The sequence below is a fragment of the Homo sapiens genome, chromosome 16, assembly GCF_000001405.40.
Source record: "Homo sapiens chromosome 16, GRCh38.p14 Primary Assembly".
Taxonomy (NCBI): domain Eukaryota; kingdom Metazoa; phylum Chordata; class Mammalia; order Primates; family Hominidae; genus Homo; species Homo sapiens.
The window spans coordinates 84,164,243-84,190,719 of record NC_000016.10 but is presented as its reverse complement, the minus strand read 5'-3'; the positions used below and the strand labels follow the sequence as shown (position 1 = coordinate 84,190,719).

The 26,477-nt window shown below is 52.3% G+C and overlaps 2 protein-coding genes across 26 annotated transcripts in view, besides 2 other annotated features; one reads left to right on the top strand and one right to left on the bottom strand.

Annotated features, from left to right (window-relative positions):
* Window positions 3,323-3,823: an enhancer, noted in NCBI's record as "H3K27ac hESC enhancer chr16:84220503-84221003 (GRCh37/hg19 assembly coordinates)". NCBI's record gives its function as "activates a minimal SCP1, AML or CMV promoter by ChIP-STARR-seq in primed H9 embryonic stem cells {active_cell/tissue: H9 hESC(primed)}" and the evidence as "EXISTENCE:reporter gene assay evidence [ECO:0000049][PMID:30033119]".
* Window positions 3,468-3,677: a silencer, noted in NCBI's record as "silent region_7781". NCBI's record gives its function as "represses an Ori minimal core promoter by ATAC-STARR-seq in GM12878 lymphoblastoid cells {active_cell/tissue: GM12878}" and the evidence as "EXISTENCE:reporter gene assay evidence [ECO:0000049][PMID:35858748]".
* Window positions 3,663-12,865, top strand: TAF1C (TATA-box binding protein associated factor, RNA polymerase I subunit C). 13 transcript variants are annotated; one of them, XM_006721326.4, is made up of 16 exons: window positions 3,663-3,819; window positions 5,137-5,240; window positions 5,731-5,869; window positions 6,942-7,023; window positions 7,213-7,310; window positions 7,387-7,476; window positions 7,571-7,644; window positions 8,280-8,518; window positions 8,662-8,778; window positions 8,857-8,974; window positions 9,057-9,128; window positions 9,257-9,392; window positions 9,534-9,677; window positions 10,376-10,550; window positions 10,637-10,774; window positions 10,869-12,865. In XM_006721326.4, coding segments are annotated over exons 2-16 (2,535 nt in total). In that variant the 5' UTR covers window positions 3,663-3,819; window positions 5,137-5,238; the 3' UTR covers window positions 11,780-12,865. The 13 variants fall into 13 exon arrangements, with proteins under 13 accessions (XP_006721389.1, NP_647610.3, XP_016879336.1 ...); NM_139353.3 differs by lacking the exon at window positions 5,137-5,240 and having other exon boundaries at window positions 5,821-5,869; window positions 10,640-10,774; XM_017023847.2 differs by lacking the exon at window positions 5,137-5,240 and having other exon boundaries at window positions 5,821-5,869.
* The window catches only part of DNAAF1 (dynein axonemal assembly factor 1), a 32,613-nt gene continuing 18,935 nt past the window's right edge, over window positions 12,800-26,477 (bottom strand). For 3 of the 13 annotated variants that reach the window (XM_011522853.4, XM_017022919.2, XM_017022920.3), the window contains 7 exons: window positions 24,723-24,937; window positions 20,364-20,861; window positions 18,345-18,460; window positions 15,998-16,051; window positions 14,421-14,787; window positions 13,114-13,206; window positions 12,800-12,991 (listed from right to left, as the gene is read on the bottom strand). In XM_011522853.4, coding sequence (XP_011521155.1) covers window positions 12,879-12,991; window positions 13,114-13,206; window positions 14,421-14,787; window positions 15,998-16,051; window positions 18,345-18,460; window positions 20,364-20,861; window positions 24,723-24,937 — 1,456 coding nt within the window. In that variant the 3' untranslated portion in view covers window positions 12,800-12,878. Of the gene's footprint in view, window positions 12,992-13,113; window positions 13,207-14,420; window positions 15,368-15,991; window positions 16,052-18,344; window positions 18,461-20,363; window positions 20,862-24,722; window positions 24,938-26,477 lie in introns of those variants that run through there. The other 10 variants (XM_011522855.4, NM_001318756.1, XM_017022918.3 and 7 more) reach the window with 9 other exon arrangements.

The following is a 26,477-nucleotide window of genomic DNA, read 5'->3' as shown; positions in this document are numbered from 1 at the left end:
GTCAGCAGGATCATTGGATATAAAATTTCACTGCAGGCCTTTCTGAAGCCAAACATAAGTGTTCCCCAGCCAAGAATTAGCCATTTGATGCAAAATGTAGGTGGGCGTGGTGGCGCACACCTGTAGTCCCAGCTACTCAGGAGGCTGAGGCAGGAGAATCGCTTGAACCTGGGAGGAAGAGGCTGCAGTGAACTGAGATTGCGCCACTGCACTCCAGCCTGGGCAACAGAGCGAGACTCTGCCTCAAAAAATAAATAAATAATTTTTTTTAAGAAAATAGCCATTTGATACTCTGCCTTTTTCCCCCCTAAGAAGGGATTTTGAGTTAATTCATACAAATAAGACAAGATAACAATTGTTTAAAGTGAAGAGCTAGAGATCAAGAGACATAGGAAAAATAAGATAAAGACAGGGATGAAGACAATTTACACAAGGCTTACTGTGATGCAACGCGTATTTGCTTGAAGGAGGCTGCAAGTTTAACGGAGTCTTACAGTAGCCACTAACTTGGGAAAGCATGACCAGTGTCTGTAAGATTTGTCACAGTGCTTGCTGCTGCTGCTGCTGAAGCTGGGCCTGGCAGCTCTCTCCAGGATTGTGACAGTGAGGATGCTGGGGCATATGAGGACCAGGTGGTGGAGTCCTCCCAGAACCTTTGACTTGGAAGAAGCAGGTGTGGTGGGCTGGGTAGTCAGCCTCCCCAACATGTCAAGAATTGACATCAGGAAGAACAATTCCATTTTGTGTGTGTGTGCAGCCCAGAGAGTGGGATGAGGCCCAGGAGAGTGAAGGGACAGCACAGCAGATGTCCAGAAATGGACTGAGGGCTGCACATATCCACAGAGAGACTTCCACAAAGTCATCAAACCCAGTAACGCCCCAAACGCTCACCAACAGGAGGTTGCGTGAACAAATCAATGGTATATTCATACAATGGAACACGACTCACTAATTTAAAAAGGAAACAACAGCTGCGTACACAACACAGGTGAATCTATTAGGCACATGGCGTGGAAGAAGCCAGACACATCCTCTCCATGATTCCACTTATGTAAAGTTCTTGAACTGGCAAAACTAATCTGTGGTGATAAGAGTCCAAATAGTGGTTCCTTCTTGAAGGAAGTATTGACTGGGAAGTGGCACCAGGGAATTTTCTTTTTAGAAAAAAATTTTGTAGAGATGGGGGTTTTGCTCTGTTGACCAGTCTGGTCTTGAACTCCTGGACTCAAGCAACCCTCCCACCTCGGCCTCCCAAAGTGCTGGAATTATAGGCATGAGCCACTGTGCCTGGCTGGAACTTTCTTGAGTGATAGAAATGTTCTCTGTCTTGATCTGGGTGGTGTTCATGTGGGTTTCTATGTATGAATAAAAATTCAATGAGCTGTACATTTAAGACTCGTGTGCTTTACTGCATGTTGAGTATATGTCAGTTACAAAAGCAAATTGATAATGGCTTATTCAGAGAAAGGAGGAAAGGAAGAAATGGAACTGGCCTCGCAGTGCCAAAGCTGGATAGGCGTTTTACAAGGGTAATGTAGAATATTAGTGTGGTAGGCAAAATAATGGTTCCCCCAAAGATGTCTACAGCCTAATCCCCAGAACCTATGAGTATATTATTTGGCAAGGGGGCATTAAGGTTGCAGGTGGAAGTAAGGTTGCTAATCAGCTGCCTTTAAAATAGGGCTCTCACCTGTAACCCCAGCACTTTGGGAGGCCCAGGTGGGAAGGTAGCTTGAGCCCAGGAGTTAGAGACCAACTTGGGCAACATGATGAAATCCCATCTCTACAAAAACTACAAAAATTAGGCCGGGCGTGGTGGCTCATGCCTGTAATCCCAGCACTTTGGGAGGCCAAGGCGGGTGGATCACATGGTCAGGAGTTCAAGACCAGCCTGGCCAATATGGTGAAACCCCGTCCCTACTACAAATACAAAAATTAGCTGGGTGTGGTGGCAGGCACCTGTAGTCTCAGCTACTCGGGAGGCTGAGGCAGGAAAATCGTTTGAACCTGGAAGGTGGAGGTTGTAGTGAGCCAAGATCACGCCACTGCACTCCAGCCTGGGTGACAGAGTGAAACTCTGTCTCAAAATAAAAAAAAAAAAAGAAAATTAGCCAGGCATGGTGGTGCTTGCATGTAATCCCAGCTACTCGAGAGACTGAGGTGGGAGAATCATCTCAGCCTGGGAAGTTGAGGCTGCAATGAGCCATGATGGTACCACTGCACCCTAGCCTGGGCGACAGAGTGAGACCCTGTCTCAAAAAAATAAATAAAACAAATAAAATAGGGAGATTATCCTGGATTACCTGGGCGGGCCTACTATAATCACATGGGTCCTTACATGGGAAAGAGGGAGACAGAAGAGTAAAAACCAGAGAGATGGCCTCATGAGAAGAATCCGACTGGCATTGCTGGCTTTGAAGATGGAAAGGGGTCATGAGCCAAGGAATGCAGGCAGCTTCCAGAAGCCAGAAAAGACAAGATAGTGGACTCTTCCTTAGAGCCTCTCAAAAGGAACACAGCCCTGCTGGCACTTTTAGTCCAGGTAAAAACTTCCAGATAAAAACAATATAGGCCAGGCGTGGTGGCTCATCCTGTAATCCCAGCAATTTGGGAGGCCTAGGCAGGCGGATCACTTGAGGTCAGGAGTTCAAGACTCAGCCTGACCAACATGGTGAAACCCCGTCTCTACTAAAAATACAAAAATTAGCCGGGCATGGTGGCGCAGGCCTGTAATCCCAGCTACTCGGGAGGCTGAGGCAGAAGAATTGCTTGAACCCAAGAGGCGGAGGTTGCAGTGTGCCAAGATCGTGCCACTGCACTCTAGCCTCCATCTCAAAAAAATAAATAAAGACATAGATGACAGCTGAGAATTTGGAAATTGATTCTTTAAAGCAACGGTTCTCAAAGTATGGCCCCTGGACCAGCATCATCTGGGAACTTGCTAGAAATGCAGACTCTTGGGCCACATCCCAGATCTACTGAATCAGCAACTCGGGGGGCAGAGGTAGGGTGGAGCCTAGCAAACTTGTAACAAGCCCCCCAGGTGGTTCTAAGGCTCACTGAAGTTTGAGAAGTACTATGTTAGGATAACGGTAAGGTTCATGACTGGACAGTGGTTCTTAAAGCATGGCCCCCAGATAAGCAGTTTCAGCATCACCTGGGAACTTAGGCAAATCATCAGGTCCCACCCCAGACTCACCGAATTGGAGACTGTGTTTTAACTAGCCCCCCAGGTGCTACTGCTGACGCACGCTAGCTAGAGTTTGAAGACCACTGCCTAAAGCTCTCCCTGCCTGACCACCCCTGGAAAAGCTTCACTCTTAGTAGGTATTTGTACCCTTATTTGTAAAGCCCGCTTCTTGGGATTTAAGGACAATCAGTAGGATACCTACTGACCAATACAGGTCTGGCTTATAGTAGGTGTTCTGTGGGAGTTCGTTAAATGATTAATTTAATACAACTCTGAGGAAATTGGTGAAGTAGATGTGGGATTCGAACCTAAGTCCACCCGGCCTCCACTATTGGGACTCAAGGGAGCTTTATTTCCGCTGCCCACGCGCCGCCTGCACGCCCGTTCCCTCTCCTCCCGGGAGGGGGCGCGCCAGGACCCTAAGAGGCCTGGCTGGGAGGCGGGACTTCCTGCCTCCGCAGGAGGCACTTCCGGTCCAAACCGGAAGACCGTGGGTAGCTGCGGCGGGGCTGACCCGTCCCGAGTGCCAAAGCTGGGGTTCTACTTGAGATTTCCCTCGTGGTGCCAGGGTCCGGCGAGCATCACGCCGAGGCCCATTTTCCAGACGACCACGACGAGGCCGGGGTCACGTAAGTGCACGCATGCGCCCCCTCCGCGCGGACTGCGCGTGTTCGAGGAGCGGACCCGCAGATGTAGGAGGGGAGGGACGCCCCCAATCCCCAGTCCCCGCGGCAGGCTCACGTTTCGCAGTCCCCGGCCTGTCGTTATTGCGGATCCGACTGAGTTCTGTAGCCTTGGAGGTCTAAAGGGTCCTGGAGAGCCCGCAGCGAGGGCGGGAAGCCGGCCGGGGAAGTCGAGGCTGCCTTGTCTGAGGGCTTTTGTGGGGTCGTGCTCTCCACCAGCGCCCTCCGCCTGTCTAGGATCGTTTCAGGCTATGCGGTTCCAAGAGAAAATATTTTTGTTTCTATTTTATTTTTGAGATAGAACCTTGCTCTGTCACCCAGGCTGGAGTGCTGTGGCATGATCTTGGCTCACTGCAACCTCTGCCTCCCAGATTCAAGCGATTTTCGTGCCCAGCCTCCTCGGTAGTTGCGATTACAGGTGTACACCACCACGCCCGGCTAATTTTTGTATTTTTAGTATTGACAGGGTTTCACTGTATTGGCCGGACTGGTCTCAAACTTCTGGCCTCAGGTGATCCGCCCGCCTTGGCCTCCCAAAGTGCTGGGATTGCAGGCGGGAGCCACCGCACCCGGCCAAAGGGAAAAGATTTTTGTATAGCGAGACTCTAATGCTAGCGTTTGCATTTCGGTGCATGCGAGAGCACTGGTTCGGAGCTCTGCCTCTGAATCGGATGGGAATCAAGTCTTGGCTGTGGCAGCTAAGAGCTGTTGGACTAAAGTTCTTGCTGAGCCTTCGTTTCCTGAACTCTGTTAACAGGGACGGCGATAGAAGAGTGCAGCATTTAGCATGTGCCTGGCAGATAGATGCTGGCGCTTGGTCAGCGAGCGCTGCTGTTATTTTTGCCCCTGTTATTTTTGTTAATTAAAAAGGAGGGATGCTATGGCTGCTCATACTTCTAGAGGACTGTATTTACCAAAGCCTTGTGATGTAATTTTTTTTTTTCTTGAGATGGAGTTTCGCTCTTGTTGCCCAGGCTACAGTGCAATGGCGCGATCTCAGCTCACCGCAACCTCCGCCTCCCGGCTTCAAGGAATTCTCCTGCCTCAGCCTCCCGAGTAGCTGGGATTACAGGCATGCGTCACCACGCCCGGCTAATTTTGTATTTTTAGTAGAGACCGGGTTTCTCCACATTGGTCAGGCCAGTCTCGAACTCCCGACCTCAGGTGATCCGCCTGCCTCGGCCTCCCAAAGTACTAGGATTACCGGCGTGAGCCACCGCGCCCGGCCCCTTGTGATAGAAATTTATTTTTTTCAACCCCTAGTGCATTTTCTGGGAGGCACTGTGCTTGACAGTAGGAAGACGATGCTCAGATGCAGTCCCTGGCTGTGGAGTAACTTGAGCGTCTTGGGGGTGTAGTCTGTAAATGTATGATGACGGTACTTACGAGCCGGGAGAGAGGCTGCCCCTTGCCGTCTTTCTGACTCCATCTCCACCGCTCTCCACCTCGCTCACTCTGGCTGCCTCATTTTCTCACACACTTCACTGCTCTAGGATTTTCACAGTTGTTGACCGTTCGGCCTGGAACCCTCTTCCCAGTTGCGTACATGGTTCTCTCCTTCACTAGGTTCAGGCTGTGCTCAAACGCCACCTTCTCAACGAGGCTTTTCCTGGCTGGCTTTGCTGAAACCACGCCCTCAGCCCACTACCAGATCCCCTTCTCCTGGACGGGTGGTTGGCTTTAATACAGTTCTCACTACTGCTTGGCCTTGGGCTACATATTTGTTTTTTGTTATCTGCTTCCTCAAAGAACATATGCTTCCCGTAGTGCACTTTTCACTCCTCAGGAACTCTGGCGCCCCTTACCAGCTTCCAGTCTCTCGAGGTGGCCAGTGTGGTGCTTGGTCCTTGTTTCCAGGATGGACTTCCCCAGCTCCCTCCGCCCTGCATTGTTTCTGACCGGCCCCCTTGGTCTGAGCGACGTCCCTGACCTCTCTTTCATGTGCAGCTGGCGAGACGCACTGACTCTGCCAGAGGCCCAGCCCCAGAACTCAGAGGTGAGGATGCAGGCAGGGGGCCCTGGCAGCTCCAGGGACATCCCTTCCCTGGGTCCCCCGTCTCACATTCACATCAGTTGACAAGGCCACAGAGTGGTGGCATTCACACGAGTCTGCTGAGACACAGGCTCTGCCACCTCCTCTGGGGTACATGGGCTACCCTGCCATCCCTAGACGGATGCCCCCACTATGCCGGGTCCCTTATGAGACCGTGAGAATGCTGCCTGAATCAGTCGGTTGACCCCTCCCTTCCTGGAACGGAGAGCTGAGTTGAGCGAGAATAAACAAGTGAACTTTATCCAATGGATAAGGTGTTTACAAAATGTGATCAGAGCTTGGAATGAAAGCAGAAGGATGCTGAAACAGCATAGTAGGGTTGGGAGAGGGGAGGATAGACCTGCAGGGTTTCTGCTGCCTCTGGAGGGACACTGGCCCTTTGCTTGGAATCCTCAGCCGCCTAGTTCCCCTTGGAAACACCCTGTCTGGGAATGAAGCCTGGCAGAGGCAAGTGGGTGAGCAAATAAAAAGAGAGACAGTGGAGCAGAGGCTTGGGGAACGGGGGTCAGGGATGGCATCCTTACGAGGGAGGGTCTGGCGTCAAATTGGGGCTCCTCTGGGAGTCTGGTTTCCTAGCTCTTTTGTCCCCTGAATGTCTGGGCCGAAACATCCCAGGCCAGCCCAGCAAAGGGAGGTGGAGCCGCCTGCCGGGCTCCCAGAGTGACTGCAAGGTCTCCTGAATGGAAGTGAGGTTACGTGAGATGTGGACCAGCCACTGGTGGCATGAGGGGCTTCCTTCTTTGAGAGCCAGCACAGGTGGAGGTCGGAAACAGGAGCTCTGGGGTCAGGCTGCCTGGGTTCACATCCCAGCTCTTCTCTTTACCGGCTCTGTCTTCTGGGGCAAATGGCAGTGTGCCTCAGTTTCTTCAGCAGTAAAATGACAATGCCAGTCATCCCAGCTTCGCAGGATTGTTGTGAGGATTGGATGAGTTGATAAGAGATGAATGCCTGTGCACAGCCTGGCCCAGGGAGGGCATTCATCATGATACTGTCCTTGCGATTGTCCTCCCTTCAGAATGGGGCACTGCATGTGACCAAGGACCTGCTGTGGGAGCCGGCAACCCCTGGGCCTCTCCCCATGCTGCCTCCCCTCATCGGTAAGGGTCTCATTCCCCCGGGCTCACTCCACACTGCTCCACCTATTCTTCCCACTGCTCCCGCTCCTGAGACCTTCCTCTCCCTGCTAAGCCTGTGCCTGCTCAGGACCCTTGGATACCTCCAGTCGCCCAGGGCATCTGGCCGCACTCCTGTGCCCTCCCCAGCCCTTTCCGTAACCTCCTTCTCAGATCCCTGGGACCCTGGCCTGACTGCCCGGGACCTGCTTTTCCGCGGAGGGTGCCGGTATCGGAAGCGGCCCCGAGTCGTGCTGGATGTGACTGAGCAGGTGAGTGGGCCCACGGGGGACAGTGCTGCGTAGCCTGGAGACTGTGCTTAGTGACCTGGCCTCCTCTTCTCCCCAGATCAGCCGGTTCCTCTTGGATCATGGAGACGTAGCCTTTGCGCCCCTGGGGAAGCTGATGCTGGAGAATTTCAAGCTGGAGGGAGCGGGGGTGAGTGGCCCGTGACTCCAGGGGTGGGGACTCCCTGCTGTCCTTCAGGGGTGAACTCGAGGGTGTGTGAGCCTGACAAGGCCTTTCCATGCAGAGCCGCACTAAGAAGAAGACAGTGGTCAGTGTGAAGAAGCTGCTCCAGGACCTCGGTGGACACCAGCCCTGGGGGCAAGTGGCTGATGAGAAAGGAGGAGATGGATAGGCATAGCTGGTGGTGGGGATGTAGGAGGTGCTAGGACGCACGTACAGCTTTCCGTCATACCCACTTCCCCCCTGCTCCATGCAGTCTGAGCTGTACTTTCTTATACCAGACTTCCAACTCCAAATCATCTCAGGGGAAAGCAGATTTACATTTGTGGAGTTCAGGCACAGCTGCATCCAGGTGTTCAAATAATGTTCATAGAGCTGTGTCTCTCTTTCCTGTCTCGTCCACTTGCCTCTCCCTGCACAGTTCCCTAGACAGGCTGTCTCTAGGTAGCAGCAAGATGGCTTATGATCTAAGGAAAGAGCCAGTGTCCTTCCTGCGGCACCAGAAGTCCCAGAAAGGACTTTGGTTGGCTTGGCTTGGGTCTCACACCCATCTGTGAACCAGTCACTGTGGCAAGGGCAATGGAATATTGTTGGTGGCCAGGTCTGGGTCACATGATTGCTTCCGGGGCATGGGAACAGGATGGGGTGGTCTCCCAAAGGAAGAAATTCTAGGTAAATAAGAAATGTGTCCACTGCACTTGGCCTCCTTGGGATGGGACCTGTCCTCCCCTGAGTGCCACCGAGTGATCCTCCTGCTGTTCTCTGGTCCCCAGGTGTCCCTGGGCTTACCTCAGCAACCGACAGCGCCGCTTCTCTATCCTCGGGGGCCCCATCCTGGGCACGTCGGTGGCGAGCCACTTGGCAGAGCTGCTGCACGAGGAGCTGGTGCTGCGGTGGGAGCAGCTGCTTCTGGATGAGGCCTGCACTGGGGGCGCGCTGGCCTGGGTTCCTGGAAGGACACCCCAGTTCGGGCAGCTGGTCTACCCTGCTGGAGGCGCCCAGGACAGGCTGCGTATCCTTTCTTGCGAGACAGGAGATTCCAGCGGGCTCGCCTCTGGTAGAGGAGGTGCTCTTGGCATGGTCCAGAGAAGGGCAGGAATTTGGGGGGCTTGCAGTGATCATAGCTCGTGCACTGATCCTTAGTGAGAGGCCCAGATTTCCAAGAGGTCGTTCTGACCCCAGGTGACAATCCCCAATTCCTTGGGAAACCTGGACGCATCCAGCTCCAGGGACCTGTCCGGCAAGTGGTGACATGCACCGTCCAGGGAGAAAGTAAGGCCCTTATATACACTTTCCTCCCTCACTGGCTGACCTGCTACCTGACCCCTGGCCCTTTCCATCCCTCCTCAGCTCTGCTGGCCGTCCGCTCTGACTACCACTGTGCCGTGTGGAAGTTTGGTAAACAGTGGCAGCCAACCCTTCTGCAGGCAATGCAGGTGGAGAAAGGGGCCACGGGGATCAGCCTCAGGTGAGGGGGGTCAGGTTGGTCGGTGAGGAGGGGCTGGAGGCAGGGCTGAGCAGCCCGATGTGAATGCATTCCTGCCCTGTAGCCCTCACCTGCCCGGGGAGCTGGCCATCTGCAGCCGCTCGGGAGCCGTCTGCCTGTGGAGCCCTGAGGATGGGTATCGCCGCTTCCTGTGAAACCCCCCACCCTAACGAACTGAACTCCGCCCTGTTGAGCATGTCGCGACCCTTGAGCCCCTTCCCCATCAGCCTGTCCCCCTGCCCACGGCTTGCCTGTCTCCCCAAGGCTGCGGCAAATCTACAGGGACCCTGAGACCCTCGTGTTCCGGGACTCCTCTTCGTGGCGTTGGGCAGACTTCACTGCGCACCCTCGGGTGCTGACCGTGGGTGACCGCACCGGAGTGAAGATGCTGGACACTCAGGTACGGGCTGGCGGCAGAGGACCCACCCCGACTGCGGGAGCGGCCGCAGAGCGGTGAGTCCCAGGCTGGCTGCGGCCTGGGCGAGGACAGCGTCACCGGCCTGGGACTGTGGGGAGGGCTGACCCTGTGTTTATCTTCCAGGGCCCGCCGGGCTGTGGTCTGTTGCTTTTTCGTTTGGGGGCAGAGGCTTCGTGCCAGAAAGGGGAACGTGTCCTGCTTACCCAGTACCTGGGGCACTCCAGCCCCAAATGCCTCCCCCCTACTCTTCATCTCGTCTGTACCCAGGTGAGTGGCACACAACACCGCCCCGCCCCACCTCTGCTCTGTCTCAGATGGTCACTAGAGGCTGCTGCTTACCAGCGGCTCTGCTGGGCCCAGACAACCACCCAGCAAACCAAACTCAACCCTGGATGAATCTGTGGCCCAAACACGCAGTGGATCCCACAGTCGGTGCTAACAGGCAGGTGGGGAAGCTCTCCCAGGGCCTCCCCTTAGTAGAGCTTCGAGGTGCAGCCAGGGGTGGAGCAGGGGAGGAGGGGCCTCGGGGTGGGGCTTCCGTGCAGAGCTGGAGAGTTTCTGCTGTGCAGGAGGCGGGGGCTCTGAGGAAGCAGGTCTGTCCTCCACCCGCCCTCCCGGGGACATTCGTAGGCGTGCCTCGAGCACAGGCTCCCGGGTCAGGAGAGTGGGGGTGGCTGCGAGAAGGCCAGGCAGGTTTCTGCTGGCAAGGCTCCCCCACACCTCTTCTGAGCACCCCTTTCCCACTTGTTCTGTCTGTCCACCGGACTGTCGGTCAGAATTGGTGAAGGAAGCGGCACCTGTTCAGGGCTGGCAGGTGAAGTCTGAGAGGCACGTGGAGGCTGATGGGAGATGCTGCTGCCCCTCAGGGCTCTGCACTCACCTGGAGAGCCACATGGGGCCTGGAGGGCCACTACACAGCTCAGCTCCCAAGTTCGGCCACATCCCCCTTCCTTCTCGGGCCCCAGTTCTCTCTCTACCTAGTGGACGAGCGCCTTCCCCTGGTGCCGATGCTGAAGTGGAACCATGGCCTCCCCTCCCCGCTCCTGCTGGCCCGACTGCTGCCTCCGCCCCGGCCCAGCTGCGTGCAGCCCCTGCTCCTCGGAGGCCAGGGTGGGCAGCTGCAGCTGCTGCACCTGGCAGGTGAGGGTCCAGGCCAGGGTGGGCGGCGTGTGGGAGATGGGGCGGTCGGGGCCTGGACAGGGCCTCAGCTGTCTGTCCTTCCTCAGGAGAAGGGGCGTCGGTGCCCCGCCTGGCAGGCCCCCCCCAGTCTCTTCCTTCCAGGATCGACTCCCTCCCTGCATTTCCTCTGCTGGAGCCTAAGATCCAGTGGCGGCTGCAGGAGCGCCTGAAAGCACCGACCATAGGTGTGCTGGGTGGGGGAGTGAGCTTGGGGGGCGCAGTGGAAAACATCCCCTCCCCCCGCTAGGCCCTGGAGGTCATTGTCATTCCCGTCACCAGGTCTGGCTGCCGTCGTCCCGCCCTTGCCCTCAGCGCCCACACCAGGCCTGGTGCTCTTCCAGCTCTCGGCGGCGGGAGATGTCTTCTACCAGCAGCTCCGCCCCCAGGTGGACTCCAGCCTCCGCAGAGATGCTGGGCCTCCTGGCGACACCCAACCTGACTGCCATGCCCCCACAGCTTCCTGGACCTCCCAGGACACTGCCGGCTGCAGCCAGTGGCTGAAGGCCCTGCTAAAAGTGCCCCTGGCTCCTCCTGTGTGGACAGCACCCACCTTCACCCACCGCCAGATGCTGGGCAGCACAGAGCTGCGGAGGGAGGAAGAGGAAGGGCAGCGGCTGGGTGTGCTCCGCAAGGCCATGGCCCGAGGGCAGCTCCTGCTGCAGAGAGACCTGGGCTCCCTCCCTGCGGCAGAGCCACCCCCTGCACCCGAGTCAGGCCTAGAGGACAAGCTCAGTGAGCGCCTGGGGGAAGCCTGGGCAGGCCGAGGGGCTGCCTGGTGGGAGAGGCAGCAGGGCAGGACCTCGGAGCCCGGGAGACAGACCAGGCGGCCCAAGCGCCGGACCCAGCTGTCCAGCAGCTTTTCGCTCAGTGGCCATGTGGATCCCTCAGAGGACACCAGCTCCCCTCATAGCCCTGAGTGGCCACCTGCTGATGCTCTGCCCCTGCCCCCCACGACCCCGCCCTCCCAGGAGTTGACTCCGGATGCATGCGCCCAGGGCGTCCCATCAGAGCAGCGGCAGATGCTCCGTGACTACATGGCCAAGCTACCACCCCAGAGGGACACCCCAGGCTGTGCCACCACACCTCCCCACTCCCAGGCCTCCAGCGTCCGGGCCACTCGCTCCCAGCAGCACACACCCGTCCTCTCTAGCTCTCAGCCCCTCCGGAAGAAGCCTCGAATGGGCTTCTGAGGACACAAGGTGGGCTGCCCTCAAGCCCCAGAGAGCCCCTCATCCTTCCTCTGGGACCAGATGTGCCTTCCACAGTTGAAACTTGAGAAGCAGAGCTCGCCACCTTCTGGAGGCCACTGTGATGATGAGCCAAGCAATTTGGAGCCAAGTTGAAGGGACAGGGCAACAAAATACAGTAGTAGTTTCTTTTGTATTTTGTATATTCGCCTGAAGATCATCCCGCAAGGCAGGCTGGAGGTGCCGGTGGGCCTGTGTTGCTGGGATTTTAGTCTGTGCTGGGAGGCAGGGCTCCGCTGCGCCTCAGCTGTGGGGGCCTCAGGCAGGTCCCTCAGTTCTCACGCCTTCCTGTCCAGTGGAATGGGGGCCAGGAGTGCTGGCTCCTCGTGTTTGGTGAGGGTGGAGTGAGGCCCCTGCAGAGCTGCTGATGAGGTGGGCACAGCGGCCGTTGGCAGCTGCTGTTGTGGGTTGCTTTGTCAATCTCTGCCCCGGTCTGATGTTTCCTACAGGGAGATGCCTTGGATCCAGGTTCAGGGACTAAATACACTTGGCAGCTGAAGATGAATTGGAATGGTCACGTTTTTTAGGCTGGACAGCGTCCCGCCACAGCTACTACCTGACACTGAGCTCATGCAGAGAGATGATGGCTGATGTTCCTTCTCCCTTGGGACATGGGTCTGGCACCTGTGGGCTGTCGATAGTGCCCTCTGAGCAGAGGGTCACGGTCATGTCAGTTTGGGGGAATTCTCTGTTGTGCCTCACAGACTCCCCCCTTTCTTTCCTCCCTCCCCTTCTCATTTTGATGTCTAAAGCATCAAGTCCCTCTTCCTCGGAGTTTCTCTAGCTGCAGTGGAAGATTCTGTTTTCCTGTGGGGAAAATGCTCACTTGAGATTTTGCAGGGACCCGGGTCTGTCTGGTTTCTGATGACATAGTAAGAGAAAGGTCTTTTTTCAGGTTGGCTGGTGAAAGGAATTGCATGTGACTCACACAAACAGGAGCTAGCCCAATCATACACTGACTCGCGTGGGTGTTAAAATGTTTATCATGCCTAAGGGAGACATTTATGATTAAACCATTTATGCTACATATAACTGGGGAAAACTATGATGCTTTCGGTGCTGGGAATGCAGTGAGGTCCCACGTGGGCAGAGCTTGGCTGGGCTGGGCAACTCCGACACACGTCTCTGGGGGTGTGGCGGCGCTCTCAGTCGGCACTGTGGAAGGAAGGGTGACCTGTGCTTTCTCCCTGTCACTGTGACTGCAAGGACAGGGGGGCAGCCTTGGGGTTCAGTCCAGGCCAAATTCAGTGTCCTCAACTGGGCGTGGTGGCTCATACCTGTAATCCCAGCACTTTGGGAGGCCGAGGCAAACAGATCACCTGAGGTCAGGAGTTCGAGACCAGCCTGGTCAACATGGTGAAACCCCATCTCTACTAAAAATACAAAGATTAGCTGGGCGTGGTGGCAGGCCCCTATAATACCAGCTACTGGGGAGGCTGAGGCAGGAAAATCCCTTGACGGGTGCCTGTAATCCCAGCTACTTCAGAGGCGGAGGCAGGAGAATTGCTTGAACCTAGGAGGCAGAGGTTGCAGTGAGCCAAGATCACATGACTGCATTCCAGCCTAGGCCACAGTGCGAGACTGTCTCAAACAAAACAAACAAAAACAAATTATTCAACGTCCTCCAGGCCTGCCCCCGCCCGAGGCTGCACGGGCTCCAGCTCAGACTGCACTTTTCTGTGCTGGTTCCTAGAGTGGAAGAGAAGGCCACTCAGTGTTCCCGGGAAATGCACTCAGGCCACTCCCTGCTTCCTGCCTGCAAGTCTGGAGTCAGCCAGGCAGCTGTCTTCAGGAAAAAGCCTGGCCACCGATGCGTGCTGGATGAGAGTAGCACGGTCTGGGCTCCACACAGCCCCCAATTTGGGAGTGCACCTGAAGGCAGATGCTGAATGAAAAAACAGTCCCAGCTTGCTTGTTCTCAGCACTAACCGGCTGCTCCCCAAAACCGCATCTGCCAGGCACATGTACCAGCCTGCAGTATGAGGGGAGGCCCCGGTACATTCAGCATGTTTTTCTGGGTCTTCTGCAGCCAGGCCTCTGGCTGCCGTCCCTGCCTGGTGCCCCTTTGCCCCTTTGCCTTCCCTGCCTTGAAGGCCACTAGGACTGGCCTGTGATTCACCCGGGCCTGGGTCACTGTGAAGCAGCCACGCCCTTGTGTGGCTGTCACCTCGCTTGCCCCACACTCCCCAGCAGTGGTGTTGGTGGTCCCCTCCAAAAGCCCTGGTCTAGAAAGGCTGAGGCCAGGGATGGTGAGGAGGGGGTGGAAATGCACGGTCATTAGGCCCCCGCCCCAGGAGATCTGCATGACCACAGGGGGATTGTGACCCCCACACACAGTCAGACTCGGCTGCCCAAGAGGAGGCTGGCTCGGTGGCTTCCTGGCCCAGGCTGGCTACCAGCAAGTGGCAGCTTCAGACCCGTGAACTCAGGAATGGGACCTTCAGAGGATCTGTGTGGTCTGTCCTGGGTGACCCCTCCAGCAACATGAAAGCTCAGGGTAAGGCTGAGTGACTGCCCTGCCCCACCCATCCCAGGCCGGGGAGCCAACATTGTCTCCACTGTGCTCTCGGCCCCACGCTCTTACCCGGAGAAGAGGCTGCAAGGAAGTCGCTGTCCCTGTCTCCACTGGAAGTGAGTGGTGCAGCATCTCTTTGGCAGGTGGGGGGCATCAGTAGCTGGCCAGAGGGGTCCTCGTCGCTGAGCTCCTGGATCAGGGGTCTTGGGGACTTGGTGTCTTGTTTTCGGATTTCCAAGTCCCTCTTAGCTTCTTTTTTAAAGATGTCTGTGAAGGGCACCCGAGCCGCCTTTGAGGTGTCTTTAGAGACTGCAAATATATTTGACAGAGTGTCTGTGGGGAGGTTTTCCAGCACAGGGAGTGACGTGTAGTCCAGTTCAGGGTCACTGTCATCACTCAAGCTCGAGATGACCTCAATCTTCGGAAAGCACATATTCTATTTACAGAAGAAAAGGTGTCTGAAAGTTTCTGTTTTCACAACAGAATCGCTCTACAATGCACCATGCCAGTTCTGCTTTTTCACCCAATGTCACAAAGTATTCTGTTGCCACATCCAAGAAAGGCCCAAGGGAACACAGGACTCTGAAAGTTAGGCCTGGGGGTGGCCACTCCCTGGGCACAGCTCATGTCTATGCCCTTCTCTCTGCCCTCTGCTCCCCCAGCCACTGGCTATTCCTCACCCTCCTGGTACCTGAGAGGGCGCACCCCTGAGCCCTGGGCTCTGCTTGGCATGCCCCTGAACCCCGTTTCCTTCACAGACTCTCTGGGACTTAGCTCCTTGGACAGCAGGCCCCCCACAGTAACTGTGTCTGTTTTCTTTGCTGCTGAGCTCGTGCTCAGAGATGATGGCTGATGCCTCCTTCTCCCTCAGGGTACGGGTCTGGCACGTGTGGGCTCCTGGTAATGCCAGTAATGGCCTCTGGGTGGAGTAGGGTCACGTCACTCTGAGAGAATTCCCCATTGTGCCTCACAGACTCACCCCTTTCTTTCCCCTCTCCTGTTTTCATTTCCTTCCCCTATATTCAGACAGACATTCATAGGATGGACATAGAAATACATCTTAATGACAGAAAGTACTTTCAGCTAACTATGCACTGTACTCAGCTGTTACAAACCAGCAATAGATTTTCAAGTGGTTCATCATAAAATCTTAAAGAAATTGAACAAGAACAAATGGCATTTCCTTCAGCAAGGTGAAAATATGGGGGATGTGGGCTGGGTGCGGTGGCTCACGCCTGTAATCCCAGCACTTTGGGAGGCTGAGGCGGGTGGATCACTTGAGGTCAGGAGTTCGAGACCAGCCTGGCCAACATGGAGAAACCCCATCTCTACTAAAAATACAAAAATTAGCTGGGCGTGGTGGCTCATGCCTGTAATCCCAGCTACTTGGGAGGCTGAGACAGGAGAATTGCTTGAACCCAGGAGGTGGAGGTTGCAGTGAGCCAAGAACACACTATTGCACTGCAGCCTGGGTGACAGAGCCAGACTCTGCCTGAAAAGAAAAGAAAAGAAAAAGAATATGGGGGAATTCAATGCTTTATGCACAGGGAACATTTTACTTTCAAGTTTAGGAGAGAAACGGTAAACGACAAGAACGAAGGTGGAATTAAGCTGCCTGTGGGAAAATGGTTTCTAATGACCTTAACCTGGTCTTCCAGAGATTTGCCTGTTTCATCATCATCTTCCAAGTCAGGTAGGTCCTGAAAGAGCAAGTGAGCCGCACATCACCAGGGAGGTACACGCACTGTCAACGTTCTGATAGGCACGATAAAGGCAAACACGCAGTCAACCCAGCCTTAGTTACAGTTACTCAAATCACTCAGGTGACTCGCCTGCCTGTTCCCCACCAAAAGGAACTCTAGATACACACAAAGCAAGCGTTGCCACCTCAGGTGTCTGGATCTAATAAATGAAAGGGAACTTGCAAGGTGTGACGTGTTTAAAGAATTTCCACATCTTTTTTCTGCTTTTTTATTAAGAGACACAGCCAGTTCATCTTGGGGGAAATAATGGGACCCAAACCAAATGCACCTCTGTACAAACTAGTCCGAAAACTCTATGTGGTATAAAAGTAATATATTTTGTACCTCCCCAAAACTTGTAGGACTTTTTTGTTTTGTATTGTGGGTGTTTGTTCGGTATCTTTGTCCATAACAACCAGTGCGTGGTTGGGGAGGCAGCATAGTGTGTGGTTGGATGCATGAACTGGAGCCACGGTGCCTAGGTTGTTACTCCCCCACCACCATTTTCTAGCTGTCTGGCTTTGGGCAAGTTGCCTAACCTCTCTGTTTCTCATTTTCCTCATCTGGGAAATTGGGATGATAATAGTATGTACTGCTTAGAGTTGTAGGAAGGGTTACATCAATCAATACAAGTCATGCTTAGAATGGTGTCACCCATATAATAAGAAACCAATTAACATTAGCTATTAGTGTTGTAGTTATCTATATGGTCAGTTCTCAAATGTGAGAGATAAATTGCCCAATTATGTCCCTTTCTTTTTCTTTTTTTTGAGACAGAGTCTCGCTGTGTTGCCCAGGCTGGAGTGCAGTGGTGAGATCTTGGCTCACTGCAACCTCCGCCTCCCAGGTTCAAGCAGTTCTCCTGCCTCAGCCTCCCGAGTAGCTGGGATTATAGGCACCTGCCACCACGCCCAGCTAATTTTATTTTTTTTATTTTTTATGTTTTTGTATTTTTAGTAGAGATGGGGTTTCACCATGTTGGCCAGGCTGGTCTCAAACTCCTGACTTCATGTGATCCACCCACCTTGGCCTCCCAAAGTGCTGGGATTACAGGTGTAAGCCTCCACACCTGGCCTTTGTTTCTTTTTTTTACATAGCTCCAGAAAACTAGAAACCCACTGTGAATTCTGACCGTGATCACTTTAACTCTTTTTTTCTTTTTTGAGATGGAGTCTCGCTCTGTCGCCCAGGTTGGAGTGCAGTGGCGTGATCTCGGCTCACTGCAAGCTCCACCTCCCAGGTTCCTGCCATTCTCCTGCCTCAGCCTCCCAAGTAGCTGGGACTACAGGTGCCCATCACCACACCTGGCTAATTTTTTTCTATTTTTAGTAGAGATGGGTTTTCACCATGTTAGCCAGGATGGTCTCGATCTCCTGACCTCGTGATCCAGCCACCTCGGCCTCCCAAAGTGCTGGGATTACAGGCGTAAGCCACCATGCCTGGCCGATCACTTTAACTCCTACTGGGCCATGTGAAATTCTGAAGTTTGAACATTAGAAACACCAGTTTAGAAGAAGTTTAACAAGGAAGTGGGCAGGGGACCACCTCTCCAAGGTATAAGGTCAGAGGTACCCAGAAATGCCTCTCCTATTCGTGCCCCATCAAAGGACAGTTCTTGGGGGGTTGTGAGACAATGTGTGAATTCCCATGGTACCATTCTTGTGGGCCTAAGCATTTGAGACTGTCAACAAAATGGGAAGAGCTTCAGGGAAGAGTGACAGGCAAGGCTGCGATCAAACATTCACTCAAGGGGATGGGACACTGAACCGTCACACCTCCATGAGCCAGAAGGCCAGTGAGAGCCTAAGCTACCTGCTGGGCGGTGTCCACGGAGGGGGGAAAAGATACAATGTATAAAGATACAATGTAACTGATGATACAATGTAACTCTCACCACGAATTTGGATAAGGCAACTAGTCAGAACCACTTAGCAAGATAGCTTCTTTGGCAAAAAGGAATCAAGAGTTTGGTAGACATGGTTCAAGGGTAGCGATTTGGGTCAGGGCTCCCCAAACTTGAGCATGCATGTGCACGAATCACCTAGGGCAGTGCATGAAAGTTGGATTCTAATCAGTGGGCCTGGGGTGAGGCCTGGGAGTCTGCATTTCTAACCAGCGCCCCAGAAATGCCAGGCCTGCCGGCCCAAGGACCACACTTGGGGTATCGAGGGTCTCCAAAGTCTGCATCTGATTACCTATTTTACTAACAGTAAAACTGATACTTATCTCCAAGATTAAATACTTCATGTACATCAATGCAGAATGTCTCCTTTGTCTCCAGTCTAATGGTTTCTAAATCTTCCGTTCTCGTTCCATCAAGTTCTGTAACGAATACACCCTCAGTGGCCACAGCCTGGGGAGTCGGTTCTAAAGAGCAACAACAAGTCTTGGAGTTAGTTTAACACACGGCAGGCAGATGGACGAGCCTACGGTGAAGATGGGCTCCCAAGGGCCGGGCTCGGTGGCTCATGCCTGTAATCCCAACACTTTGGGGGGCCAAGGTGGGCGGATCACAAGGTCAGAAGTTTGAGTCCAGCCTGGCCAACACAGTGAAACCCCCGTGTCTATTAAAAATGCAAAAATTAGCCAGGTGTGGTGGCGGGCACCTGTAGTCTCAGCTACTTGGGAGGCTGAGGCAGGAGAATAGCTTGAACCTGGGAGAGGGAGGTTGCAATGAGCCGAGATTGTGCCACTGCACTCCAGCCTGGGTGATAGAGCGAGACTTCATCTCAAAAAAAAAAAAAAAAGACAAAAACCCTCCTCAGGGCCCAAAGGCCAGCCTCCATGACAAACACGGCAGCTCACCACAGGCTTCTGTCTGCTGGAAAAAGAACGGAACGGCTGCCCTTTTCTGTAATCTGGAGGCGAATCCCATGAGATGAAGAGCACCGGCCAGGAGTCAAAGCAGCAGCCGCAGGAATCTTGGAAATGGCAGCCGACTGCAGGGTGACAAGGGATGCCAGCAGGGGCGACTCGCTCAGAGACGGAGGGGCAGGCTTCACAGCCCACCGCCAGCCTGTCCCTCAGCCAGGCACACGCCCCTCCTGCTGCACCAGGGTCAGAGCTTGTGCAGTTTCATAACTGTGAGATCGCCTGAGGAATGTGGAATCGCGAGGAGCCCCTTCCTCATCCAGGCCCCTACTTTTCCTTTTTATTTACTTATTTTTATTTTGTTGATACAGGGTCTCACTCTGTCACCCCGGCTGGAGTGCAGTGGTGCAATCTCAGCTCACTGCAGCCTCGACCTCCCATCCCCTTCCCCTCCCACCTCAGCCTCCCAAGTAGCTGGGACTACAAGTGGTCACCACTATGCCCAGCTAATTTATTGTTTTTTGTAGAGGCTTGGGGGTTGCGGGGAAGGGGGCTTCTCACTATGTTGGCCAGGCTGGTCTCGAACTCCCGGCCTCAAGCAATCTGCCTGCCTCGGCCTCCCACAGTGCTGGGATTACATGTGTGAGCCACCTCGCAAGGCCTGCCCCTACTTTTCCCCCGGGCTGTATCCTTGGGTCCTGTGCTCTGATCCCTCCATTGCTCTCGGGGCTTCGTTTATGTCAGAGATGAATGGCCTACCTTTCACCAGTAAAAAGTTACCGTTCAGCCATGTCAAATACATACTGGATTTTGATGACTTAATTTTTGAAAAAAGTAAAATAGCTCACTGATAATTTTTATATTGATTCCATGTTAACATGATTATATTTTTTATATATTGCGTTAAATTAAACATGTCATTAATAGTTTTACTGTTTTTTTACTTTTTACTTTTTAATTAATTTATTAATCAATTTATTTTTTGAGGGAGGGTCTCACTCTGTCACCCAGGCTGGAGTGCAGTGGCACAATCTTGGCTCACTGCAGCCTCAACCTCTGGGGCTCAAGCAATCCTCTTGCCTCAGCCTCCTGAGTAGCTGGGACTACAGGGGCACACCACAATTCCCAGCTAATTTTTGTAGTTTTGGTAGGGATGAGGTCTCTGTATTTCTGAGGCTGGTCTGAAACTCCTGGCCTCAATCAGTCCTTCTGCCTTGGCCTCCCAAAGTTCCTTTTGCTTTTTTAAATAGAGCTATTAGAGAATCTAGTAGTGGCTCCTGTTCCATTTCTGTTGGGCAGCCCTGTTCTAGAAAACAAGATAACTAGTGTCCATTATCTTCTAGAAACAGCAATACAGAAGAAGTGAAACTCAGGCCCCAGGTCCCACAGAGACGTGAGTCGAAGGCTGGGGCTCCCTGAGAGGTGTGTGTGTCTGTGTGTGTTTCTCCGCTCACATTACCTTCCCTGGCAGCTCCCAGGGGCGGTGGTGGTGGGGCCTCAGCTGGGAGGGTCCCCTCTGGCTCTCGATCTCCATCCTCTCCTTTAACCTTCACAGGCGGTGACAGTAGCAGGGTCTCAGCTGGGAGGGTCCCCTCTGGCTCTTGATCTCCATCCTCTCCTTTAACCTCCACAGGTGGCGGGGGTGGTGGGGCCTCAGCTGGGAGGGTCCCCTCTGGCTCTCCATCTCCGTCCTCTCCTTTAACCTCCACAGGTGACGACAGTAGCAGGGTCTCAGCTGGGAGGGTCCCCTCTGGCTCTGGACCTCCATCCTCTCTTTTAGCCTCCACAGGCGGCTCCTCTCCACTTGGCTTTTCCGGGCAGAGCTCGTCCTTGGCCTCAAAGCTTTCCTTAACAAATAGCTCCATCTTCTGCCTTGTTTCTCTGTCCCCGGGAGGCTCCTCCTTGCCTTCCGCACTGGCGGGCACATTCTCACCATCATCTGAAGATGTCATCTCCCCTAATGGCAGAAAATGCAAAGGTGAATGTGGGAGTGTCCTGGGAGGACAAGGGTGTTTGTGGGTACATCAAGGGCTCACAGCAAACTTCTGAGACCAGGGAAAAGGTCAGGAACACAGTTAAAAAAGTGTCCTCAAGGGGCTGGGCGCGGTGGCTCGTGCCTGTAATCCCAGCACTTTGGGAGGCCGAGGAGGGTGGATCACTTGAGGCCAGGAGTTCAAAACCAGGCTGGCCAACATGACGAAACCCCATCTCCACTAAAAATACAAAAAATTACTCGGATGTGGTGGCACGTGCCTGTAGCCCCAGCTACTCAAGAGGCTGAGGCAGGAGAATCGCTTGAACCTGGGAGGTGGAGGCTGCAGTGAGCCAAGATCGCGCCACTGCACTCCAGCCTGGGAGACAGAGCGAGACTCTGTCTCCAAAAAAAATTATAAATAAATAAGGAACATAGTTTAAAAAGTGTCCTCGAGGCGCTGGGCATGGTAGCTCATGCTTGTAATCCCAGCATTTTGGGAGGCCCAGGCAGGTGGATCATTTGACATCAGGAGTTCAAAACCAGCCTGACAAACATGGTGAAACCTCATCTCTAGTGAAAAAAAAATACAAAAAAATAATAATAGCTGGGCGGGGTGGCACATGCCTATAATCCCAGCTACTAGAGAGACTGAGGCAGGAGAAGCGCTTGAACCCAGGAGACAGAGGTTGCAGTGAGTCACCGCATTGTAGTCTGGGTGATGAAGTGAGACTCTCTAAAAAAAAAAAAAAAAAAAAAAAAAAAAGTATCCTTGAGGGATGTTCATTAGTGTTGTTTATAATGGATAATAATGGGAGCCAAATGCCTACGGAAGGCACTGCCAAGCACAGCCCTTTAATGGAACAGGTCACAGCTATCAAGAAAATAGAATGCAGGCAGTTCTTAGGAGATGCACGCTGAAGCACTGGGGGTTTAAGGGCTGTGACGTTTGCCTTTATCTTCAAATGGTTCAGGGGAAAAGCAAAGTGTGTGTGTGTGTGTGTGTGTGTGTGTGTATGTGGCAAATGTGTAGCAAATTATGAAAAACCACAGAATCTATTAATAAATGCAGACATACAGCTATCCGTTTTACTATTCTTTCAGCTTTTCTGAAAATTTTTAACATTTCAAAACAAAAAGTTAGGAAAAGACAATATATGCAGTAAGAAAATGTCTATTGTATGGAAAATAGTTATAGTATGCTAATTCAAAAGACTAGACAGGAAGCAACATATTTCTGCCATTTTTATATAAAAATGTATGTGTGGCCAGGTGCAGTGGCTCACGTCTGTAATCCCAGCACTTTGGGAGGCCGAGGCGGGAGGACTGCTTGAGGCCAGGAGTTCGAGACCAGCTTGGCCAACATAGCAAGGCCCTGTCTCTAAAAAATAAAAATAAAAATATTAGTCAAAGGTGTTCACACCTTAATGTCAGAATATGAATACGTTACCTTACACGGACAAAGGAACTGTGCAGATGTGATTAGGATCTAGAACCCTGAGATCAGGAAATTGTCCTGGGTTATCCAGGCAGGTTCAAAAGAATCACAAGAGCCCTCAGAATAGGGAGGCAGGAGCGTCAGAGTCAGAATGAGGCTGGAAGATGCCACACTGCTGGCATGGAAGTTGGAAGAAGGGGCCACGAGCCAGGGAACGCAGGCGGCCTCTAGGAGGTGAGAAAGGCAAGGAAGCGGGTTCTCCCCTGGGGCCCCCAGAAGGTACACAACCCTGAGACACCTCGATTTTAGCTCAGTGAAACCCATTTTGGGCTTCTGACCCACAGAACTGCAATAGGGTAAAACAGATTTGTGGGGTTTTTTTTTTTTTGAGATGGAGTTTCGCTCTTGTCGCCCAGGCTGGAGTGCGATGGTGCGATCTCGGCTCGCTGCAACCTCTGCCTCCCAGGTTCAAGCAATTCTCCTGCCTCAGCCTCCCAAGTAGCTGGGATTATAGGCTTGTGCCACCACGCCCAGCTAATTTTTTCTATTTTTAGTAGAGACGGGGTTTCTCCATGTTGTTCAGGCTGGTCTCCAACTCCTTACCTCAGGTGATCCACCCGCCTCAGCCTCCCAAAGTGCTGGGATTACAGGCATGAGCCACCACACCCGGCCAGATTTGTATTCTTTTAAGCCACTAATTTTGTGGTAATTTGTTGTGGCAGCTGTGAAATTACAAGATACATAGATCTCTGAAACAGAGCTCCTAAAACCCCTGTACATAGGGGTGCTAGGAGGCTCTTTTGTTCTAATATTTGGTCTTCAACCCCAGTTTCCTGACACAGAGCTCCTAAGACCTGCATCCAGAGTGACAGGCACATCTTTTGTTCGAATGGGGCGGCTCTTGGGGGTGGGGTGGCTTCTGGAGCACAGAGACCAAGCCATGATAAGAGGCTTGGAGCTTTCAGCTGGGGCTTCAGAGAGGGCAGAGGGGCTGGAAATGGAGCTAATCATCCATCATGCCCACGTGCTGGAGCTTCTGGAAAACCCCCTAAACTGTGGGGTTCAGAGAGCTTCCAAGTTGCTGAACACTGGAGTTACCTGGAGCGGGGTGTGGCCAGAGAGGGTATGAAGCTCCGCCCCTTCCCACAGACCCTTCCCTAAGCTCCACTTCATCTTGCTGTTCATCTGCATCCCTTATTTTATCCTTTATTAATATAATAACCCAGAAAATATAAGTGTTCTCTGGAGTTCTGTGAGCCATCATAGCAAATTATCAAACCCAAAGAGAGGGTCATGGGAACCCTAATTTTATAGCCATTCTGTTAGAAGTACAGGCGACACCCTGAGACTCGCGGTTGGCATTGGAAGTGGAGAGTCATCTTGCGAGACCATTGCCCATCACTTGTGCGGTTAGTGTCAGGATGGAAATGAATTGCAGGACAGCCGGCTGGTGTCAGAGAATTGGTGGGTGTGGGGACACCCTGCACATTGCGTGACCACAAGTGTGCTGAGTGTTGAGAGTGTGGGAGAAGAAAACAACCTATTTGAGTTTTCCTACTTTCAGCAGCCGCAGAAAACTAATACATCATTTATTTTGAAAAACTGTTCCAATCAGTAAAAGTGGTTTGAAACAGCTCATCACTGTTTGAGGTTCTCACTGGTGCTGGCAGGTAGGTGAGGCCAACTGCAGATGGATCTGCAGGTTGTGAGGAAATGGTTTTAAAAAAATCCCTGGCCAGGTGCAGCAGCTCATGCCTATAATCCCAGCACTTTGGGAAGCCAAGGTGGGTGGAGCACTTGAGCCCAGGAGTTTGAGACCAGCGTGGGCAACATAGTAAGACCCCATCTCTACAGAAATTCTTTTTTTTAATTAGCTAAGCATGGTGGTGCACACCTGTAGTCCCAGCCACTTAGGAAGCTGAGGTGAGAGGATCACTTGAGGCAGAGGTTGCAGTGAGCCAAGATTGTGCCACTGCACTCTAGCCTGGGCAACAGAGTAAGATCCTGTCCCAACCAAAAAAAAAAAAAAAAAAAAGAAAAAAAGAAAATCCAAGGCTGGGCACAGTGGCTCACGCCTGTAATCCCAGCACTTTGGGAAGCCAAGGCAGGCAGATCACTTGAAGCCAGGAGTTCGAGACGAGCCTGGACAACATGGCGAAATCCCATCTCTACTAAAAATACAAAAACTAGCCAGGCATGGTGGTACGTGCCCATAATCCCAGCTCTGGGGAGGCTGAGGCACGAGAATTGCTTGAACCCGGGAGACAGAAGTTGCAGTGAGCCAAGATCACACTGCTGCACTCCAACTTTGCAACCTCAGTGACAGAGCAAGACTCTGTCTAAAAAAAAAAAAAAAAAAAAAAAAAAATTCCCAAGATTAAAGACTGGGTTTGAGAGCTTAGACTTGCCTAATCTCAAAGGAACTCTGGGGCTGTTGTCTTCGGCCGAGCGCATACCTCTCTCTTGACTCTCTCTCTGTCTTTTCCTCTCCTCTGCCCGCTGCTTGATCATGGCCAAGGCTTCAATGCTGTCTGTGATCTTCTTCCGCTCCCTGCTCTCCCACTGCTGTCTCTCCTCCTTTTCAGCTGCGTACCCTCCCCTAGCCCAGGCCTCCGCACAAGCTCTGTTTAAAAAACAAAGAAACATAAATAGGGGAGGTGAACTCCAAACATACACTGTCTGATCAACTTGCTCATTTTCTTCAAAATCAAAGCAAAGTGAGCATCAGACATGTGACTGCAAGGATAAAAGTTCCACATGTAAATTTTATTATTTAAGGTGGAACAGTCTGCAAAGCCTTCTTAGATGTGGCACCAAAAGCACAAGTGACAAGAGAAAAAATAGAGAAATCGGACTCCATCAAAATTAAAAATTTTTGTCATGCAAAGTATACCATAAATAAAGTATTATTTTAAAAAACCAGCAGGGCACAGTGGCTCATGCCTGTAATCCTAGCACTTTGGAGGCCAAAGTGGGAGGACCACTTGAGCCCAGGAGTTCGAGATCAGCCTGGGCAACATAGCAAAACCCTGTCTCTACTGAAAAAAAGTAAAAAGACAACTCAAAGAATGTGAGAAGATACTTGCAAATCATATATTTGATAAGGGTCTTGTACCTGGAAAATATAAATAAGCCTCACAACTCATTAATAAAAAGATGACACAATTTCAAAATGAGCAAAGTTTTAAAAAAATGAAAAGGCAGGCTACAGACTGGGAGAAAATATTTGCAAAAAAAGATAACTGGGAAAGGGCTTGGATCCAAAACATACAAAGAACTTTTGAAATTCAAAGATAAGGAAACAACGCAATAAAAAACTGGGCAAATGATCAGGGTACCTCACCAAAAAAGATATAGAGATGGCAAATAAGCCTGTGAAAAGATGCTCCACATCACGTGTCCTCAGGGAAATGCAAATTAGAACAATAAGATAACATGATATGGCTACAAGATGGCTAAAATCCAAAACACGGCAACGCTGCGCTAATGAGGATGTGGAGTCCCGGCAACGCTCACTTGTTCTAGGTGGGAATGCGAAATGGTACAGCCACTTTGGAAAATGGTGTGGCGGATTCTTACGGGACTAAAAATACTCTCACCATATGATCCAGCAATTGTGCTCCTGAGTATTTACTCAAATGAGTTGAAGACTTATGTCCACACGCAAACCTGCACATGGACGTTTACAGCAGTTTTATTCTAATTGGCAAAAACTAGAAGTGACCAAGATGTCTTTTAGTAGGTGAATGGATAAACAAACTCTGGCACACCCAGACGGAGGAATATCACTCAGCAATGAAAAGAAACAAGCTGTCAAGCCACACAAAGTCATGGAAGAAGCCTAACTTCCTTGCTAAGTGAAAGAAGCCAGTCCATAAAGGCTATATGCTGTAGGATTCCAGCTATATGACTTTCTAGATAAGGCAAAACCATGGAGACAGCAAAAAGATCAGTGTTGCCAGAAGTTGGGGCTGAGGAGGTAGGAGGGATGAAGAAGCAGAGCACAGAGGGTTTTAGGGCAGTAAAACTATTCTGTGAGATACTGTGATGGGGGATACAGGACATGATACCTTTGTCCGAACCCATACAGTGTGCAACACCAAGTGTGAGCCCTAAAGAAATGATGGACTTCAGTCAATAATAAGGTACCAGCATTGCTTGAT

Coding starts and splice junctions, on each gene's coding strand:
- TAF1C (XM_006721325.4), top strand. Junction 7,645..8,279: donor GGTGGACACCAGCCCTGGGG/GCAAGTGGCTGA, acceptor TCTGGTCCCCAG/GTGTCCCTGGGCTTACCTCA. Junction 9,678..10,375: donor TTCATCTCGTCTGTACCCAG/GTGAGTGGCACA, acceptor CTCGGGCCCCAG/TTCTCTCTCTACCTAGTGGA.